The sequence below is a fragment of the Homo sapiens genome, chromosome 9 (genome assembly GCF_000001405.40).
Source record: "Homo sapiens chromosome 9, GRCh38.p14 Primary Assembly".
Classification (NCBI taxonomy): Eukaryota; Metazoa; Chordata; class Mammalia; order Primates; family Hominidae; genus Homo; species Homo sapiens.
In genome coordinates this window covers 20,102,293-20,124,392 of record NC_000009.12, presented here as the reverse complement: position 1 = coordinate 20,124,392, position 22,100 = coordinate 20,102,293, and the positions used below count along the sequence as shown (strand labels likewise).

At 38.6% G+C, this 22,100-nt stretch overlaps 1 protein-coding gene across 1 annotated transcript in view, besides 1 other annotated feature; it reads left to right on the top strand.

Moving 5' to 3' along the window:
• SLC24A2 (solute carrier family 24 member 2) overlaps positions 1 to 22,100 on the top strand; it is an 800,438-nt gene that overhangs the window by 183,500 nt on the left and 594,838 nt on the right. The gene's annotated exons all lie outside the window — the stretch shown is intronic.
• Positions 12,435 to 13,185: an enhancer, noted in NCBI's record as "OCT4-NANOG hESC enhancer chr9:20111206-20111956 (GRCh37/hg19 assembly coordinates)". NCBI's record gives its function as "activates a minimal SCP1, AML or CMV promoter by ChIP-STARR-seq in naive H9 embryonic stem cells {active_cell/tissue: H9 hESC(naive)}" and the evidence as "EXISTENCE:reporter gene assay evidence [ECO:0000049][PMID:30033119]".

Genomic DNA, 22,100 nt, shown 5'->3' with positions numbered 1-22,100 from the left:
TTCTTCTTCTTCTTTTTTTTTAAATAACATGTTTGCCTATTTTCTCTACAGGTTTATGGTACAGAATCAGATTCTTTTTTTTTTTTAAGCTTTTGGGAACCTTGAAAATATTCTAGTGTGAAGCCCTTCTCCCTTTCCTACTATAATCAAACACCATATCCTCCTGTCTATTACATACATGGCACTTTGCCAAGACAGGATATATTGGGAGGAATCGTATAGTTATGCTCAGGAGATGTATTGAGAAGGAAATTATAAAAGGAGTTACATATGCCAGGTGTCCACCATTGTATCAAGGATGAATAGAAAGTATTGGAAAGGCTGTTAACTCATTTCAGTGCATTCACAAAACAACTTTTCATGCTATTCTATGAGATAAAGATATTCCTGGTATTTTAAGCCTAATAATCAGGAATAGGGAAGAAGCCAAGGTTTTGAACAGTTAGGTATAGTATTTTCAAAATGCTAGTGAGCACTATACTTTGCATTTTCTTCAATATTTGCAGTAATAGTTTTTTGTTCTAGCCTCAAGCTCAACTGGAAGATAGTTGATGCTTACTATTTTTCTTTAATCCAGGAATTATCTAAAACAAGAGAGTGGAAAATTTACCAATGCTATTTTTAGAGAAGGAGAAATAATTAAAGCATTGTTACTTACTAGATGTGTGACGTTAATGATAATTACCACTGTTAATTGTTTATCTTATTTTTCTAGGCACTTTGCTTATATTAGCTCAGTCCACATGACAATCCTATGAGGCAGACGTTATTTTTTCTATTGTACAGTTATAGAAAATGTAATTGATAAAAGTTCAGTATTTTTTCAAAGTCTCATTCATATAAGTACAAATATAAGATTTGAAGCTAGATCTGCCTGATTTTGAGTTTATAATCTTGATTACTGTTCTGTACCTCCTACTTGGACAAGTTATTTAAACTTTCTGAATCTTTGCTTTGTCATTTGAAAAGTAGAGAAAATATTTCTTCCTTCATCATTTTGTTATGAGGAGAAAAATTAATAAACTATGATCTGAATGTTGATGCCCTCCAAAAATTATATGTTGAAATCCTAACCTTCAAGGTGATAGTATTAGGCAGTGGGGCCTTTGGGAGGTAATTATATCATGAAGGTAAAGCCTTCATAATTGGGATTTTGCCTTATAAAAGGGACCCCACAGAGCTAGCTTATAGTTTCCATTATGTGAGGACACAGCTAGAAGGTACCATCTATGACCAGACAGGAGGTCTTCACTAGATACTGAATCTGCCTTGATCTTGAACCTCCTAGCCTCTAGAACTGTGAAAAACAAATTCCTGTTATTTATAAGCCATCTAGTCTATTATAAGCCACCTAGTCTAGTTATAGCATCCTGAATAGAATGAGTCGAAAACAAAGCATCGAATGGGTGATCAGTAGATGTTGCTGGTCTTTAAGACAAGAGCTGAAATCTCCAGGAATGACATTTATTGACTGGCTCTCAGTAAAAATTGAACTGAGATTTAGGTCCTCATTTTAGATTTTCAAGTTTTATGGAAATTGGTCAAAAAAGAAAAATTGCAACACTAAAAATATGTGCGCTTATCCAAAACAAGGGCAAGAAGACAGGAAGATTTAATTTCAAATGATTTCTCTAGGCATCAAAAGAGGGGATAAGTCAAAAATTAAGAAGTAGAGTTTTTTTGTTGTTGTTTGTTGTTTGTTTTTTCGAGACAGAGTCTAGCTCTGTCGCCCAGGCTGGAGTGCAGTGGTGCAATCTCGACTCACTGCAATCTCTGCTTCCTGGGTTCAAGCAATTCTCCTGCCTCAGCTTCAAGTAGCTGGGATTACAGGTGCCCACCACCATGCCCAGCTAATTTTTTGTATTTTTAGTAGAGACAGGGTTTCACCGTGTTGGCCAGGCTGGTCTCAAACTCCTGACTTCAAGTGATCTGCCCACGTCAGCCTCCCAAAGTGCTGGGATTACAGGCGTGAGCCACCGTGCCCTGCCTAAAAAGTAATGTTTTAAATGAACAAACAACACAAATTCATGACATTGGGATCGAAATGCAATCAACTGCTTTCCCTTGTATGCCTGATTGTCAGCAAGTGTGCAGAACTATCGGATGTATAGGGAGCACTCTGGTCCTCAAAACAAGGGCGGGCTTAGTAGACAAGTAATCAGTGCATTTGCACAGGGCCTTATGCCTAGAATGGTTCCATGCTTGGTTAAATGCTCTGCTAACACTGTCTTGAAATTCTTGTAACTTGTGAACAAGAGACCCTTATTTTCATTTTGTACTTAACCCAGCAAATTAGGTATCCAGTCTTGCTTGGAACGTTTGGTGCCCCCAGCTCATCTCAGTGAAATGCCCTCAGTCCAATGAACACATTCTCAGGAGATGCCTTGGAATGCTGCATTAGCAGATTTCTCTTTTCCTTTTGTTTTTGTTAGCAAGCAATCTTCCGTTCATTCTTTGAAGTTGTGTATAATGCATGCTACGTGTAAAGCTCTAGATGTATAAGGATGAAAGTAATATAATTAAAAGGGGTCTGGATATTTTTTTAAGAAGGAAAAATAACAGCACCATCTCCAAGATGTATGTGTTAAGGACAATAATATTTTGGAATAACTTTTTTAGAGAGAAGTTTCAAATTTCTGCTTAGGAGTGGCTTTGAGTAGGGTCTGGATATCGGTGTTTTCTTAAAACACTGCATGTCTTTCTAATGTGCAATGAGGATTGAGAACCACTGAGTTATAAATTTGCTGGAAAAAATGGACATTCCCGGTAAGCACTTATAACACGTTTCTTCAGAAATCCTCTAGAGCATTTATATGTGATCAAATTTGTATTCCTGGGTAACTACAGCTTTGCATATAGTAGGTGCTTAGCCAAATTTTGTTGGCAGATGGGAAATCAAATATAACTTTAATCTATTTGTTAAATAACATTATGCACATGATCTTCCCATAAACTTTTTGGCCTTTAAAAAAAGTTTTCCAACCCCTGGACAAATATTTGCAAGGTGGTATTTTTAAAAATTTCATTTATAATAGCATCAAATAAATCTAACAAAAAATTTATAAGATTGTTACACTGAAAACCACATTATATTTCTGGGGAAAAATAAAGAAGGCCTAGGTAAATGACAGCTATACAAAGTTCATGGATTGGAAGACTTCATATTGCTAACATGCCATTTATTTCCAAATTGACCTATAAATGCAATTCAATTTCAATTGAAATCCCAATAGGCTTTTCTATAGAAATTAGGAGGTGATTCTAAATACAAAGGATCTAGTATGCCTGAAACAATTTTGAAAAAAAGACTGAGAAAGAACAACAAAGTTGGGGAGGAGCCATAGTACCTAATTTCAAAACTTATAAAAGTTCAGTAATTAAACACGTATACTGGTTAAAGAATAGGCAAATAAATAAAGGAAATAGAGTACAGTTTGCAAATAGGCCTATATATATATATACAATCAATTGATTTGCAATAAAGATGCCAAGGAAATTCAATGAAAGAAGATATTATTTTTCATAAATGGATCTGGGTCAATTGGATAACCAACCTTGATCCCTGTCACCATACAAAACATTAATTTGAAATAAATCTGAAAGTGATCATAAGTCTATAAAATCTCCAGAAGCTATGCAACCTTGGATTAGGCAAAGCTGCTGCTTTTCCTTATTTTTTTTTCCCCAACTTTTATTTTAGGTTCAGAGGGTAGATATGCAGATTTGTTACATGGGTAAATGTTACATGGGGTTTGATATACAGATAATTCTATCACCCAGGTAATCAACATAGTACTCAATAGATAGTTTTTCAGTCCTCACCCTTCTCCCAACTTCCACCTTCAAGTAGGCCCTAGTGTCTATTTTTCCCTTCTTTGTGTCCATGTATACTCAATGTTTAGCTCTCACTTATGAGAACAAGTGGTATTTGATTTTCTGTTTCGGCATTAATTCACTTAGGATAATGGCCTCCAGCTCCAACTCCAGCTGCAAAGGACATGAGCTCATTCTTTTTCATGGCTATGTAGTATGCCATGGTGTACATGTACCACATTTTCTTTATCCAGGCCACCATTTATGGGCATCTTGGTTGATTCCATGTCTTTGCTATTATGAATAGAGGCAAAGCTTCTTAATAGGGCATAGGAAATTTCTAACCATAAAGTAAAAATCTGATACATTTACCCAATCAAAGTTTAGATCTATTTTTCAAAACAGTGGAAAACTAAAAGGCAAGCCACAGATGAGAAAAAATACTTGTGTGTGAAGAATGATCAGAGAGATACAATGTTGCTGGTGTTAAAAATCAAGAAAGAGGGTAACAAATGAAGGAAAATGTGGGTGGTTTCTAGAAGCTGGAGTAGTCAGGGGAACAGATTGAAACACAGCCCTGCCGATGCTCTTGATCTCAGCCCAGTGAGACTTGTGTCACACTTCTAACCTACAAAACTGGAAGGCAATAAATTTGTGTTGTTCCGATCCTCTAAGTTTGTCAAAATTGTCACAGCAGCAATATAAAGTTAATACAATTCCTTAGGATTTTCTATGTAAACAATTTTGTTGTCTCTGAATAAACACAGTTTTACTTCTTCCTTTCTAATCTTTATGACTATTACTTTTTTGATTTCCTTATTGCACTGTATGGGAACTCCTGTACAATGCTGAACAGAAAAGATGAGCTCAGGCATTCTTGTCTTGTTTCCCATCTTTGGGGAAAGCATTCAGCCTTACACTATTCATTAGGATATTAGCTGTAGGCTTTTTATGGTTGCTCTTTATCTGATTGAGAAAGTTCTCTTCTTTTCCAGGTTTGCTAAGAGTGTTTATCATGGAAGTGTTAAATTTTGTCAAGTGTTTTTTTCCTGCAGGTATTGAGATGATTATGACTTTACCTCCTTTTTTTCTACCAATGTGGAAAACAACTGATGGATTTTTGAATGTTATACCAACTTTGCATTTTTGGAATTCCTGTTTTATATATCGATGGATTTGATTTTCTAAATTTTGTTGAGAATATATTTTTACTCAAATTTTATAATCGGCATAACAAATTACAAAAAAATGTAGTGATTTAAAGCAACATGTGTTACCTCACAGTTTCTGTGAGTCAAGAGCTGGCCATAGTCTAATTGGATCCTAGGCTTAGAGTCTCACAAGGCTACAGTCCAGGTGTTGGCCATGCTATATTCTCGTTGGAAGGCTAAACTAAGCAAAGATCTGCTTCCAAGCTTGATTAGGTTATTAGTATAATTATCTTACAGTTGTACAATTGAGGGCCTTAGCTTCTTGCTGGCTGTTGTCTGAAGGCTGCGTTCAGTTCTTGAAGGCTGCGTTCATTTCTTTAAAACCACTCTCAATTCTTTGCCATGTGGACCTCCCAACATGGCCACTTCTTCAAAGCCAGCTAAGACATTTCTCTGGAGTGAGTCTCCTAGCAAGACATAGTCTTAAATAATGTGATGAAATCATGAGAGTGACATCTCACCACCTTTGACATATTTTATTGGTTAGAAGCAAGTCACAGTACCCATCTGCACTCAAGGGAGGGGAGAAGATGATATCAGGGCATGAACACAAGGAGGCAAGACTACCCTATACTTGTTTACCACAGCATCTATGTTCATGAGAGATATTAGCCTATTATTTTTGGTCTTCTAATGTCTTTATCAGGTTGTGTTATTAGAGTTACGGAGGTCACTTTTGAAAATGATTTTCATTTTCATATGCTTCTTTTCCTCTTTTTTTACTTTTAACTGATTTTTCAGAAATAAATACCAGGTTGAATTGTAGATATAAATACCTAAGGTTTTGTTGGTAAAACATAGGCTGTAAAATAAAAAATAAAAAAAAACTTAAGAACAGCATCAATAGTTTTTTAAATATAAGAAGTGAATCCACAATGTCCAACAAAACTTGTTGGTTATCTCTCAAGCATCAGTCAGGGGCCCCTGGAAGCTTTATTCATTTATGTCTTTTTTTATTCGTCTTTCATAATGTTTCTAGTTTCTTGGTAGAATTTCAGCAGAATTAAACTTAAATTGTTCAGAAATGTATAATGAATTTCCTTCAACTTCTATGCAATGACTGATTGATCTGGGTTGGTAAATTAACAGCTGATAACAGCAAGGTACATACTGGTAGTGGCAGTTGGGTCTTATTGTGTAGTTCTTGTGCAATAAATAATTAAAGAGGAAGTTTCTTTTTTCTTTCGATTCTCACCAGCTCTACACAGGGGTAGATAAGTCGCCTATGAGCCACAATATGCATATTAAACTCTTGGGTTCAGAAGGTTGACTTACTCTTTATCCTAAGGCAGATTGGGCACTAGACATTCCTTCTATAATGGAGTAATAATTTAATATAAAGATGTGCTCATAGTTAAGCTGAAGGTGGTAAGACTTGAGCCCTAGAGTCAGTCAGACTCTGCTTAAAGTATGACACTGACTCTTACTAGCTTAATAACCTTGGGAGTTATTTGTAATATTAATAACAACTCTGATGCCCTCTTTCTTCATCTGTAAAATTAGTGTAATAGTATACTGATTTCAAAGACTTTCAGGAGAATTAAATGAGGTAATTCATGTATAATGCTCAGCATAAGTTTTGACACATAATAAGCCCTTAGTAAATGTTAGCAATTACTATTATTGCTATTGTAAAGGGGAAATAGTATGGACCTTGGAATCAAACAGACCTGGCACCGTTTACTAGGTATATGACCTTGTACAAGCTAGTTGACTTCTCTGAGTTTCAGTTTCCTCACTTTTAAAGCGACAAACATAATAAGTACTTTGTTAGATTGTCATTTAGCATACTGCCTATTGTCTACAAGGCACTTTTAAAAGCATTTATATTAGACACTTTAAAAAGGTGAATTTTCTTCCTCATCTTTTCTCCAGTACTCTCTTAGCAGGTTTATTACATACAAACGTGGCAGCTGGTTTCTTGTTGTCATAGTAAAGACATAGCTAGGCTGCTGTTACAAAAGACCATGAAATGAAAAAAATGACAGAATTATCTCTTTCATGTAAGAGGCTAGTATGTAGCCTGATATCAGAGATACAGTCTCCTTCCATGCTGTTGCTCTGTCCTCCTCCACATTGCAACTTCTGGGACAGGAAAGAAAGGAAGAAAAGAACATACTTCTTTATTTTGAGGAATTTTTCGAGAAGTCATATACCTTCCTTCTGCTAATACCCCACTGGCCAGAACCTAGTTGTCTGACCACACCTGCTTACAAGGGAAGGAGATGTTATCTTTGGCTGGGCATGATGATGGCGTAGTCGGTGGGGCTCTCAGTCACTGCCAAAATACATTACTAGCCTAATCCTGCCAGATGAAATGAAGGTGAGAGACTGGATTTCCTTCCAAAGTAGTAGAGGTATATTTCCTGGGGGTTGAGTGGAAAGATCATACAATTGTTCAAAAGATGAAAGCTAGTATGCTTGCAAGACTGATCTTATGTTTGATTATTAACAGGGCTTAACCTGACTGTGGCTGCTTTTGTTTCTCATTTCTCTCCTTTATTACAATTGGATGATCTAAGTTACCTATTATCTTCAACTTTCATTAAGCGCAGAAACAACTCTTCTTCTGCTCTCTTGCCTCAGAGTCAATGAACTGATCAATAAGTAGTTACTGAGCTTCTAGAATTCATTTCTTTATGCATCCATTCTCTCATTTATACACATTCCATAAGTATGCATTGAATTTTTACTTTGCAGTATGTTCTGGGAATATTAATACATCCTAGACATGATCTCAGGCCTAAAGGAACTCTCATTTAGTAATTGAAAGACAGAAGCATTGAAAAGACGGCACAGTATGGTAGGTGCTGAGAAAGAATTAAGCACAGGATGCTATGAAAGCCCATTGGAGAACTACGAAGAGCGAAGTTAGCCTCTGAACTGAATCCGTTGTTATGATGGATGATGTGATGAATTCAAGAGAAACATAGGACCTGGTCTTGTTTTCTGGGCACCCTCTATCAGAATGCCCAGAGAACAATGAATGCTTTCTTTGAAACCACACCTCATAAAGTGCTTAAGGGTTCTAAGATCTGCAGGCATTCAGAGAAGAGGAAGATCCATAAGGACCTAAGCAGACAGCAAAAGCTTTTGAATAAGTGAAGTGTCAAAGGTCTGGATACATTTAGAGCTATGAGAATGGCATTCTGGTGTGAGAGCTGTTTGAACAGACTCATGGTGCATGCTGGGCTCCTGAATTAGGAAAATGGACTAGAGTCTATTATTAAGTTTCTTTCAAATGGCACATATCTTACTTTTTGGTCTTGAGACAACTTCAGAATAATTCCCAGTAACTTCTGCCCTGTCCTGTGTGGCTTCTCACCAAATACAGTTCATAGAAATGGACAATGGCAGAATTGTGTTTAATGCTGCTTAAGATTTCCATTGTGAGTTGGCAGCCTTAGTATATAATTTTCTCAGATAAAAAAATCTCTTGCCTTGGGATTTTGCCAAAAATTACTTTGCCCCAATTAGATTCTAGTCTGATGCAATCATTGCTTAAAATTGTCTCAAATTGAAACCATCTAATAGCCAATTTTGGAATGAAGAAGATGGGAGAAATTCAACACACTATGGATAGTCCATTTATTGAGTGTGTGATCCAGGAACAGGAGAAAAGCAGAGCTCTCAATGTATTCTGCCTTGGACACAGTGTGTCAGTGAGTTTCATAACAGGGTGTTCTTCACCGGCAGATCCTTTTGTTGGCTTAGCATAAATCAAGCCTTCAAAGGAAGCACAATTTGATCATATCTTAAGAAATCAAGTTTGACGTGTTCATTGGATACTCTTCTTTCTGTTCATTGTACAGGCATTGTTGGGGCTCAGAAAACAATACCCTAAAGTGTGATGATTTGGCTTGCTGGGTACTTTGAATTAAAGGAAATTGGAGGTGACTTGGAAACTGCCTCAGAATCAGGGTCTTTCTAAGTTTCCCTTGTTTCTCCCCACAAGCACAGGAAAGAATTCTCTTTGACGTTTCCGTATCTGACTGAGGGTAGTTCTTCCAAAAGAAACACAATTGCCTTCAATCTCCTGCCCGAAATCTCCATTAACCAGGGAAGATTCATCACCAAAGAAGAAATTAAAGTTCTCCCTTTACCAATCTGGGCAGAATTTCATCTATTCTCCTGAGGGACATTACCTGAGACACTTTATCTGCATGATAAGATAACCTTTGTTTGCAGTGCAATTCTGCCCCTCACCTTCCCATAACTTGCTGCCACTTTCCCCAGAGCCCAGAGGAACTTTGTCCCAGGCTATTGTATGTTCTTTGGGCCCATTAATTTCCCCTAAAATTAATTGATTCTTCCTCTAAAATTTCCCACAACCCCCATTTTCCTCTCCTCTATGAAAAGCGTATTTAAGTTTCAACCTTCTGGCCTTTCTTTGAGTTTCATACTTTGTGTGACTTCTGTGCACTTGCATTTTAATAAATTTGTATGTCTTTTCCCCTGTCAGTCCGTCTTTTGTCAATTTGTTTTATAGAATCAAATTCTCAAGCTTTCAGGGGTAGAAGGAAAGTTTCTTTTGTCCCTACAGCATCTTACAGAGAGGCTGGCCAGAGGGTGTTTTGGAATTGGGCCATATCCTGGTTCCTCAAATAGTGACTGAGCACTAGCTCTCTGAATGGAATTTGGAGAAGGGCGTGACCCCACTGGTTGGTGCTAAAATGCGTGGAGATTCATAGCACATGGTAGATACTCATTATATTTATGAATGAATGAATAAATGAATTAATTAACATTATTGGGCCAGAATATCCCCTCCTCCATGACAAGATAGGCTTCTCTTCTTCCAAATATTTCTCCTTGGAACTTTTGGGATGGTGTACTGCATTATTCTTGGGTATTTTCTTTATTTCATTTATAAGAAAATATTAGCAGTAATGTCATGAAGTTCCTTGGAAACAGTTTGTCCTTTCACACCTTGCTTTAGGCTTTACTAGCTGGGACCGCAGCAGCCTTTAGCATAGGACTAGTTTAGCTCCACAACTGAGGTGATTACCTGATAAGCACTCTTCCTGATACCTTAGGTGTCATAAGGTTTTTCCACATGGTAGAGGGAACATAGACTTTTCCTGGCCCTGTGTGAGCTGCATGAATTATTTCATCTGTCCCCTTTGCGGTGGTTCTTTCCTTGACCTCAGATAGTTTCCTCACACAAACGTGCTATTTGGGAGTGGAAATGGGGGTTCCTGCGCAGATCTTTGGACCACTCTTTCTGTTCAGCTCTCTCTTCTCTAACACTGCCATGCAGACTCAATCAACCTCAGCCTCTCAGAACTCCCAAGCCTGTCTCTTCAAACCAGGAAAACCACTGGCTGCCATCTGGATTCTCTTTTCCTACGATGTGGTCTGGAATCACTTTCCAGGCAAAAAGTGGGGGCAATCATAGGGTTCACCTCATTTGTTTCCCCTCTCTCAGGGATTGCTATCCCAAGCTGCCTGTTGTTCAGTGGCTGAAACTATTGTTTTATATTTTTTTCTGATTGCTTTAGTTGTTTTATGTGGAAATGTAAATCTGAATGCAGTTACTCCATCTTGATTGAAAGAGGAAGTCAGTGCATAAAAATTTATATAGAAGACCATTCATCAAAGCATTATAGTTTATGAAGAATAATTGAAAATAGGCAAAAGGCAAGAGTATATATATGCTGTTTAATATAATGGATACACATATGTATGCATTTCACAACGTGTTCAGAGAAAAAAAATGACTTGAAAGCAAATATACCAAAATGTTAATAATGCCATATTTTACAAATTTTTATAACCAATATAGAATAATTATAGAAATATTAACCAAAATTTAAAAAGTGGACATTTCAGTTAAAAACTAGTGAAGCTAAGTTTCAGCATGTCAAGATATTTATCTGGCAATCTACTTTTAATGAACATAATAATCATCATCATAACAAATATAAATAGCTCTCTTTTACTTGCCAAGCACTATTTTATGTGCTTTTTACTATTAATCATTTAATGCTCAAACAGTCCTGTGAACAGTAATAATTCTGTTTCCATTGAGGAAATGGAGGCACAGAGAATTGAAGTCACTTTTCACAGCTGGTAAATGGTGCAGCCAGGATTTGGCTCCAGGGAGTGCGGGCATAGAGTCTGTTCTTCATCACCATGCCATGCTGCCTGGTTCCCTAGAACTATGGGGTTTGAAAGACCTGGAGTGATTTCTTGACCAGTCCTGGGGGAGAGCCCCAGATGACTTGGCCAAAGATCAGCAAAAAGACATGGAGATACTGCATTGCAAAAGAGGGTTCTATGCCCCAAAACTCTGAGGATGGAGCTCATGGTAGGGTGGCTGCCAGGCATGTCACATTAGCCAAACAGCTAATGTAATAGAGCCACAAGTTGAACCCAGAATTACTTGCTTCACTTGTGTCTTTGTTTTTTCCAGCCCTAACCGTGTGTCTCTCACCACATGATTGTTAGTCTGACGTTCAGAGATGGGAGACCTAACTTTGTTTTCTTGTACTCTACCAACTAGATAAAAGAAAGATGGTGGTAGGGCAGGGGAGGTGGGGGGTGGCTGGTGAGGGTAGAAGTCATGGGGGCTGTTCAAGATTGACACACTAAAAATTAGGTGATTCGCCTTCAGACAAGCCACCTCTCGGGTCCCCAGGAACCACACTCCCCAGCAAATCTGAGCAGGGAGAAAAAGGGCTGACACAGACCCTACAGAATGTCCATCTAGGCAGGGCTTCCCGTACACTGACACCCTGGGGTTATTATTGCTTTGAGTATATGAGATCACTCAGAATGGAATGCCTCATTATAGGTTTAAACCCAAGCTATAAATCAAACATTTTTCCTTTAATATGGGGAAGTTTCAGATTATTTTCAAGAAACCTGGTGCAAAGTGAGGTAATCTTTTATGGTAAAGAGGATGAATAACTTAAACTGCATTCCCATAAATTTCTTTAACCTGGAAGGAAGGCTTTAAGTCTATCTGCATACATAGCACATCTGATTTTTCCTTTGAATAATGTGTGAAGTGTTTTAAACAGACCAGCAAATTCACAGGGTTTTAAAGCCTCCTGCAGATTCGGCCTTGCTTTCTGCAGCCAGACAAGTGTCGAAAATTATCGAGGATTGTGTTCTTACTTTGACGAAATGTTCTTTTTTTTCCTTCAGGCAGAGAGATCTTGTTTACAATTATTTCTTCATTCTGTGTCCCAAACTTCCAGTTTGCAGAGATAGAAAAATCAATATGAATAGCTTAGTGCTAACAAATGAGGCTCCAATTACCAATAATTTTATGCAATATGACAAAGATTTTTGTCCAGTTAGCTCTACTTTTTTTCATTTTCTTAATGGTGTTTGGCATAGGTGGACCTAGTTATTATTCAAAACTATATCTGGAAGCGTGGTTTTCCTCTGTTTCTTCCAAATGTTCACTGATTTTAAAATGATATTATTTTGAAGATGAAAATCAACAAATCTTTACACAAGATTCTTCAACTTTTCCAAACAAGAACATTTTCATTTTAGATTTTTTTTAATCTTTTTGGTTGAAATAATGAAAGAAGGGCTGGAGAAGCATCCCCCAGTGGACAATGGGGACCAGATAATAGTCTCTTAATAAGCCATTAACATTCTGATGCTAGATTTTATTACATCTACTGATGTGTTAAACCAGTGCTTTTCAAACTTTAATGTCCATCCCAGTCCTTTGGGGAACCTATTAAGATGCAGATTCTGTCTCAGTAGGTCTAGGAGGGGCCCAGGAGTCTACATTTCTAACAAGCTCTCAGCTGATATAGATGCTGCTGCTCCATGAGAAGAAAGGATTAAAGCACTTTTGTATCAGTTAGGGCCCTGGTAGAAACAGATGGCATATTCAAATTGGAAATTTGAGAAGAGATTAATAAAGGGCTTATTTATAAATATGCAGACATTGTTTAGAAAAGCAATAAGAGACGGTGCAGTGCCTCTAGGCTAATAACACCTGGAGAGGGCACTAACCCTAGATCTCAAGAGGCAAGGAGAGAGAACAGTTAACACCTGGAGAGGGATAGCTGGACTGACAGCAAAGCCTGGGCATTCAGTAGGGAGATCTGGCTAACCTCCATGACCCTGTAGAAGCTAATGGGTGAGGGATAGGAATATATGTCTCTGTCACCCTCTTCCTGCTCTCCCACTCCTACCGGTGCCTCCCATTTGCCAAATCGAACCAAATGCAGTAGGGCAAGGGAACCAGGTTGATGCCATCCACCATAAGTCAGCTTCCCAGGGCTACTAGCAAGATGGAAAAGGGAAAGTGAAGCTAGAAGGGTGACAGGAAGATATCCAGCAGCACATTTTACTTGAATTCACAGGTGCTTTAAACATATCTACCATATTTCACCTTATGATCAAGTATATTTATAAGATGCTATTTTTTAAACATACTACCAAGAAAAAAAGTGCTGCCAATTAAACCTATGACATGCCATTGATTGTAAAATGGATCCTCATTTGAGAGATGTTAAAATTTGATAAAAACATATTTCAGTCTTAGAATTGGTGAAATATAGTATTGTGTTTTTCATAAATCTTGTTCAAAACCAGAGGAAGGAAAGATCACTATGAAACTATAATTTTTCAAATGATTGGATGCAAAATGAATTTTCATTGGATCAACATTTTTTTCCTTCCCTTAAAATAATTTAAAATTTAATTCTAATATCAATAAGAGTCAAGACAATTCACCAAAGAGAAGATCTAGTAACAATAGGTACTTTTTAGCCACACTTTTACTGACTCTGGGTGGCATAGAAGACTTGCCTTCCTGTAGTTTGGAGACCAAGAAAAGGAAGAGGAGACTGGTAAAACTGTAATATGATTAAAGTACACAGAGTCAGCCTTTGATTGTTATAATCACTTAAGTTAGTGTAAGAGTGAAAAAAAAAAGTGCATTTAGTGAAAGAAGTTGGACTACTTTGGGTGAGATTTTATTTTGGCGTTGATTTGATTATTTACAGAAGCTTTTAGACTGTTGATATCACATATCAACAGATTTTCTTGAATTCCTAACACAATTGGGTCAACTTCAGAGCAAAAGCAAAATTTCCTGCTATAAAATATACTACATGTCAATTATTTTCTTGCTTTAATATAGCAACTAAAAATTCTATAATATGGTGACCTTATGTTTAGGGTTTAAATGGTTTACAAAACCCCACATATCCAGAGGGCTCATTTTTAAAGCCAGTTGAAGCCTTAAATTTCTTCCGCTGTGGGCTCAGGTTCTTCATGAAATGAGTGAGTAGTACTAGATTTCTTCTAAAATCCCTACAGTTCAGATTACTTGACGTTGAAATAGAAAGCTTTAATATGATAAAAAATTAACCCTGTATATATGTAAGAAAAAAGAACACAGTTTCTTTGTGTAAAAAGAAGACAATAACTGCATAAACATGAGGAAATCTTTAAAGAAAAATGTTAATGGAAATATCCAGCTAAAATTCCAGAATCAAGTTGAAAAAGTGGCATCCCATATGACTGAAAGAAATTTGATTGGTATTATTTGTGTGCTCTCCTTGTGTGTTGGGTTCCTCTAGACCACGCCCTTGGGTTTGGTAACTACCTAGGAGGACTCTCAGGACTCAGCATGTAGTTGTACTCATGGCCATGATTTATGACCATGAAGGGATCCAAAGCAAAATCAATAGAGGGAATAGGTGTATGGGCAAACTCCAGAGGAAACCAGGAGCAAGTTTCCAAAAGTTTCCCAGTATTCACGCAAGATACACTTAATTCCTCCAGAAACAAGTTGTGATGACACATGTGAACTGTCATCTCCCAAGGGATGTTCATTAGGAACTCAGTACCCAGGATTTTTACTGGGGGCTGGTCACATACACACTCTCTACTTAGCATATACTAAAGCTTGAGACTTGCAGAAGGGAAGCAAGTATTCGGCATAAGCCATTTGCAGTTTAGGCACAATGAACCACTCTTGTCAGTTAGGGTCGTGGAAACATTCCTGAAATTCAAGTCCCTAGATGCCAGCCAGGGGCTTAGCTTGCAAGCAGGTCTTTCTGAGGGTAGCAGTCTCAGGCTTGCTATGTTAATTTTTTTCTGCATAATCTCGTTCACTAGTCTGCATTAGATTTGAGGTTACATACATAGTCATATATCACTTAAGGATAAATTTTGAGAAATGTGGGACTTTTTTGTCATTGTCTGTGAACGTCAGAGAGTATACGTACCCAAACCTAGATGACAGTATAGCCTATTACACACCTAGGCTGTATGGAATACTCTGTCACTCCTGGGCTACAAGTCTGTACAACATGTTACTGTAGTGAATATTGAAGGCAGTTGTAACACAGTGGTAAGCATTTGCCTATCTAAACACATCTAAACATGGAAAAGGTACAGTTAAAATATGCATTATCATCTTATGTGACTACTGTCAGTATATGTGCTCTATTGTTGACTAAAATGTTTTTACATGGCACATGACTATTTTAAAAATTATTTTCATTTATGTTTTCTTTTTTCTTAATTTTATTATTACTATACTTTAAGCTTTAGGGAACATGTGCACAATGTGCAGGTTAGTTACATATGTATACTTGTGCCATGCTGGTGTGCTGCACCCATTAACTCATCATTTAACATTAGGTATATCTCCTAATGCTATCCCTCCCCCCTCCCCCAACCCGACAACAGTCCCCAAAGTGTGATGTTCCCCTTCCTGTGTCCATGTGTTCTCATTGTTCAATTCCCACCTATGAGTGAGAATATGCAGTGTTTGGTTTTTTGTTCTTGCGATAGTTTACTGAGAATGATGATTTCCAACTTCATCCATGTCCCTACAAAGGACATGAACTCATCATTGTTGATGGCTGCATAGTATTCCATGGTGTATATGTGCCAAGTTTTCTTAATCCAGTCTATCACTGTTGGACATTTGGGTTGGTTCCAAGTCTTTGCTATTGTGAATAGTGCCGCAATAAACATACGTGTGCATGTGTCTTTATAGCAGCATGATTTATAGTCCTTTGGGTATATACCCAGTAATGGGATGGCTGGGTCAAATGGTATTTCTAGTTTTAGATCCCTGAGGAATCGCCACACTGACTTCCACAATGGTTGAACTAGTTTACAGTCCCATCAACGGTGTAAAAGTGTTCCTATTTCTCCATATCCTCTCCAGTACCTGTTGTTTCCTGAAATTTTAATGATTGCCATTCTAACTGGTGTGAGATGGTATCTCATTGTGGTTTGATTTGCATTTCTCTGATGGCCAGCGATGGTGAGCATTTTTTCATGTGTTTTTTGGCTGTATAAATGTCTTCTTTTGTGAAGTGTCTGTTCATGTCCTTCAACCACTTTTTGATGGGGTTGTTTGTTTTTTTCTTGTAAATTTGTTTGAGTTCATTGTAGATTCTGGATCTACAGTGAACTTTGTCAGATGAGTAGGTTGCGAAAATTTTCTCCCATTTTGTAGGTTGCCTGTTCACTCTGATGGTAGTTTCTTTTGCTGTGCTGAAGCTCTTTAGGTTAATTAGATCCCATTTGTCAATTTTGGCTTTTGTTGCCATTGCTTTTGGTGTTTTAGACATGAAGTCCTTGCCCATGCCTATGTCCTGAATGGTAATGCCTAGGTTTTCTTTTAGGGTTTTTATGGTTTTAGGTCTAACATTTAAGTCTTTAATCCAACTTGAATTAATTTTTGTATAAGGTGTAAGGAAGGGATCCAGTTTCAGCTTTCTCCATATGGCTAGCCAGTTTTCCCAGCACCATTTATGAAATGGGGAATCCTTTCCCCATTGCTTGTTTTTCTCAGGTTTGTCAAAGATCAGATAGTTGTAGATATGCGGCATTATTTCTGAGGGTTCTGTTCTGTTCCATTGATCTATATCTCTGTTTTGGTACCAGCACCATGCTGTTTTGGTGACTGTAGCCTTGTAGTATAGTTTGAAGTCAGGTAGCATGATGCCTCCAGCTTTGTTCTTTTGGCTTAGGATTGACTTGGCAATGTGGGCTCTTTTTTGGTTCCATATGAACTTCAAAGTAGTTTTTTCCAATTCTGTGAAGAAAGTCATTGGTAGCTTGATGGGGATGGCATTGAATCTATAAATTACCTTGGACAGTATGGCCATTTTCACGATATTGATTCTTCCTACCCATGAGCATGGAATGTTCTTCCATTTCTTTGTATCCTCTTTTATTTCACTGAGCAGTGGTTTGTAGTTCTCCTTGAAGAGCTCCTTCACATCCCTTGTAAGTTGGATTCCTAGGTATTTTATTCTCTTTGAAGCAATTGTGAATGGGAATTCACTCATGGCTCTCTGTTTGTCTGTTATTGGTGTATAAGAATCCTTGTGATTTTTGTACATTGATTTTGTATCCTGAGACTTTGCTGAAGTTGCTTATCAGCTTAAGGAGATTTTTGGCTGAGACAATGGGGTTTTCTAGATACACAATCATGTCGTCTGCAAACAGGGACAATTTGACTTCCTCTTTTCCTAATTGAATACCCTTTATTTCCTTCTCCTGCCTAATTGCCCTGGCCAGAACTTCCAACACTGTGTTGAATAGGAGTGGTGAGAGAGGGCATCCCTGTCTTGTGCCAGTTTTCAAAGGGAATGCTTCCAGTTTTTGTCCATTCAGTATGGTATTGGCTGTGGGTTTGTCATAGATAGCTCTTATTATTTTGAGATATGTCCCATCAATACCTAATTTATTGAGAGTTTTTAGCATGAAGGGTTGTTGAATTTTGTCAAAGGCCTTTTCTGCATCTATTGAGATAATCATGTGGTTTTTGTCTTTGGTTCTGTTTACATGCTGGATTACATTTATTGATTTGCATGTATTGAACCAGCCTTGCATCCCAGGGATGAAGCCCACTTGATCATGGTAGATAAGCTTTTTGATGTGCTGCTGGATTCGGTTTGCCAGTATTTTATTGAGGATTTTTGCATCAACGTTCATCAAGGATATTGGTCTAAAATTCTCTTTTTTGGTTGTGTCTCTGCCCGGCTTTGGTATCACGATGATGCTGGCCTCATCAAATGAGTTAGGGAGTATTCCCTCTTTTTCTATTGATTGGAATAGTTTCAGAAGGAATGGTACTGGCTCCTCCTTGTACCTCTGGTAGAATTCGGCTGTGAATCCATCTGTTCCTGGACTCTTTTTGGTTGGTAAGCTATTGATTATTGCCACAATTTCAGATCCTGTTATTGGTCTATTCAGAGATTCAACTTCTTCCTGGTTTAGTCTTGGGAGGGTGTAAGTGTCAAGGAATTTATCCATTTCTTCTAGATTTTCTAGTTCATTTGCGTAGAGGTGTTTGTAGTATTCTCTGATGGTAGTTTGTATTTCTGTGGGATCAGTGGTGATATTCCCTTTATCATTTTTTATTGCGTCTATTTGATTCTTCTCTCTTTTCTTCTTTATTAGTCTTGCCAGCGGTTTATCAATTTTGTTGATCCTTTCAAAAAACCAGCTCCTGGATTCATTAATTTTTTGAAGGATTTTTTGTGTCTCTATTTCCTTCAGTTCTGCTCTGATTTTAGTTACTTCTTGCCTTCTGCTAGCTTTTGAATGTGTTTGCTCTTGCTTTTTAGTTCTTTTAATTGTGATGTTAGGGTGTCAATTTTGGATCTTTCCTGCTTTCTCTTGTGGGCATTTAGTGCTATAAATTTCCCTCTACACACTGCTTTGAATGCGTCCCGGAGATTCTGGTATGTTGTGTCTTTGTTCTCATTGGTTTCAAAGAACATCTTTATTTCTGCCTTCATTTCATTATGTACCCAGTAGTCATTCAGGAGCAGGTTGTTCAGTTTCCATGTAGTTGAGTGGTTTTGAGTGAGATTCTTAATCCTGAGTTCTAGTTTGATTGCACTGTGGTCTGAGAGACAGTTTGTTATAATTTCTGTTCTTTTACATTTGCTGAGGAGAGCTTTACTTCCAAGTATGTGGTCAATTTTGGAATAGGTGTGGTGTGGTGCTGAAAAAAATGTATATTCTGTTGATTTGGGGTGGAGAGTTCTGTAGATGTCTATTAGGTCCGCTTGGTGCAAAGCTGAGTTCGATTCCTGGGTATCCTTGTTGACTTTCTGTCTCGTTGATCTGTCTAATGTTGACAATGGGGTGTTAAAGTCTCCCATTATTATTGTGTGGGAGTCTAAGTCTCTTTGTAGGTAACTCAGGACTTGCTTTATGAATCTGGGTGCTCCTGTATTGGGTGCATATATATTTAAGATAGTTAGCTCTTCTTGTTGAATTGATCCCTTTACCATTATGTAATGGCCTTCTTTGTCTCTTTTGATCTTTGTTGGTTTAAAGTCTGTTTTATCAGAGAATAGGATTGCAACCCCTACCTTTTTTTGTTTTCCATTTGCTTGGTAGATCTTCCTCCGTTCTTTTATTTTGAGCCTATGTGTGTCTCTGCACATGAGATGGGTTTCCTGAATACAGCACACTGGTGGGTCTTGACTCTTTATCCAGTTTGCCAGTGTGTCTTTTAATTGGAGCATTTAGTCCATTTACATTTAAAGTTAATATTGTTATGTGTGAGTTTGATCCTGTCATTATGATGTTAGCTGGTTATTTTGCTAGTTAGTTGATGCAGTTTCTTCCTAGCCTTGATGGTCTTTACAATTTGGCATGATTTTGCAGTGGCTGGTACTGGTTGTTCCTTTCCATGTTTAGTGCTTCCTTCAGGAGCTCTTTTAGGGCAGGCCTGGTGGTGACAAAATCTCTCAGCATTTGCTTGTCTGTAAAGTATTTTATTTCTCCTTCACTTATGAAGCTTAGTTTGGCTGGATATGAAATTCTGGGTTGAAAGTTCTTTTCTTTAAGAATGCTGAATATTGGCCCCCACTCTCTTCTGGCTTGTAGCGTTTCTGCTGAGAGATCCACTGTTAGTCTGATGGGCTTCCCTTTGTGGGTAACCCGACCTTTCTCTCTGACTGCCCTTAACATTTTTTCCTTCATTTCAACTTTGGTGAATCTGACAATTATGTGTCTTGGAGTTGCTCTTCTCGAGGAGTATCTTTGTGGCGTTCTCTGTATTTCCTGAATGTGAATGTTGGCCTGCCTTGCTAGATTGGGAAAGGTCTCCTGGATAATATCTAGCAGAGTGTTTTCCAACTTGGTTCCATTCTCCCCATCACTTTCAGGTACACCAATCAGATGTAGATTTGGTCTTTTCACATAGTCCCATATTTCTTGGAGGCTTTGTTCATTTCTTTTTATTATTTTTTCTCTAAACTTCCCTTCTCACTTCATTTCATTCATTTCATCTTCCATCACTGATACCCTTTCTTCCAGTTGATCGCATCGGCTGCTGAGGCTTCTGCATTCTTCATGTAGTTCTTGAGCCTTGGCTTTCAGCTCCATCAGCTCCTTTAAGCACTTCTCTGTTTTGGTTATTCTAGTTATACATTCTTCTAAATTTTTTTTAAAGTTTTTAACTTCTTTGCCTTTGGTTTGAATTTCCTCCTGTAGCTTGGAGTAGTTTGATCGTCTGAAGCCTTCTTCTCTCAACTCGTCAAAGTCATTCTCCATCCAGCTTTGTTCCGTTGCTGGTGAGGAACTGCGTTCCTTTGGAGGAGGAGGGGCGCTCTGCTTTTTAGAGTTTCCAGTTTTTCTGTTCTGTTTTTTCCCCATGTTTGTGGTTTTATCTACTTTTGGTCTTTGATGATGGTGATGTACAGGTGGGTTTTTTGTGTGGATGTCCTTTCTGTTTGTTAGTTTTCCTTCTAACAGACAGGACCCTCAGCTCCAGGTCTCTTGGAGTTTGCTGGAGGTCCACTCCAGACCCTGTTTGCCTGGGAATCAGCAGCGGTGGCTGCAGAACAGTGGATTTTCATAAACCACGAATGCTGTTGTCTGCTCGTTCCTCTGGAAGTTTTGTCTGAAAGGAGTACCTGGCCATGTGAGGTGTCAGTCTGCCCCTGCTGGGGGGTGCCTCCCAGTTAGGCTGCTCGGGGGTCAGGGGTCAGGGACCCACTTGAGGAGGCAGTCTGCCTGTTCTCAGATCTCCAGCTGCATGCTGGGAGAACCATGCTCTCTTCAAAGCTGTCAGACAGGGACTTTTAAGTCTGCAGAGGTTACTGCTGCCTTTTTGTTTGTCTGTGCCCTGCCCCCAGAGGTGGAGCTTACAGAGGCAGGCAGGCCTCCTTGAGCTGTGGTGGGCTCCACCCAGTTTGAGCTTCCCAGTTGCTTTGTTTACCTAAGCAAGCCTGGGCAATGGTGGGTGCCCCTCCCTCAGCCTGGCTGCCACCTTGCAGTTTGATCTCAGACTGCTTTGCTAGCAGTCAGTGAGACTCCGTGGGCGTAGGACACTCCAAGCCAGGCGTGGGATATAATCTCCTGGTGCACCGTTTTTTAAGCCCATCGGAAAAGCGCAGTATTAGGGTGGGAGTGACCCAGTTTTCCAGGTACCGTCTGTCACCCCTTTCTTTGACTAGGAAAGGGAACTCCCTGATCCCTTGAGCTTCCAGAGTGAGGCAATGCCTTGCTCTGCTTCTGCTGGCGCACGGTGCACTGCACCTACTGTCCTGCGCCCACTGTCTGGCACTCCCTAGTGAGATGAACTCAGTACCTGAGATGGAAATGCAGAAATCACCCGTCTTCTGTGTCGCTCATGCTGGGAGCTGTAGACCGGAGCTGTTCCTATTCGGCCATCTTGGCTGCCAGTCTTATTTATATTTTCTTTTTTTTTTTGGAAATGTCTTTTTTTTTGCAGTGCATTTTAAAAAGTATTATTATACTTTAAGTTCTGGGATACATGTGCAGAATGTGCAGGTTTGTTTCAAAGGTTTACATGTACCATGGTGGTTTGCTGCACCCATCAACCCGTCATCTACATTAGGTATTTCTCCTTATGCTGTGTGTCCCCTTCCCCCCCCACCCCCTCACAGGCCCCAGTGTGTGATGTTCACCTCCCTGTGTCTATGTGTTCTCAATGTTCAACTCCCACTTAGGAGTGGGAACATGCAGTGTGTGGTTTTTTGTTCCTGTGTTAATTTGCTGAGAATGATGGTTTCCAGCTTCATCCATGTCCCTGCAAAGGACATGATCTCTTACTTTTTTTTATGGCTGCATAGTATTCTG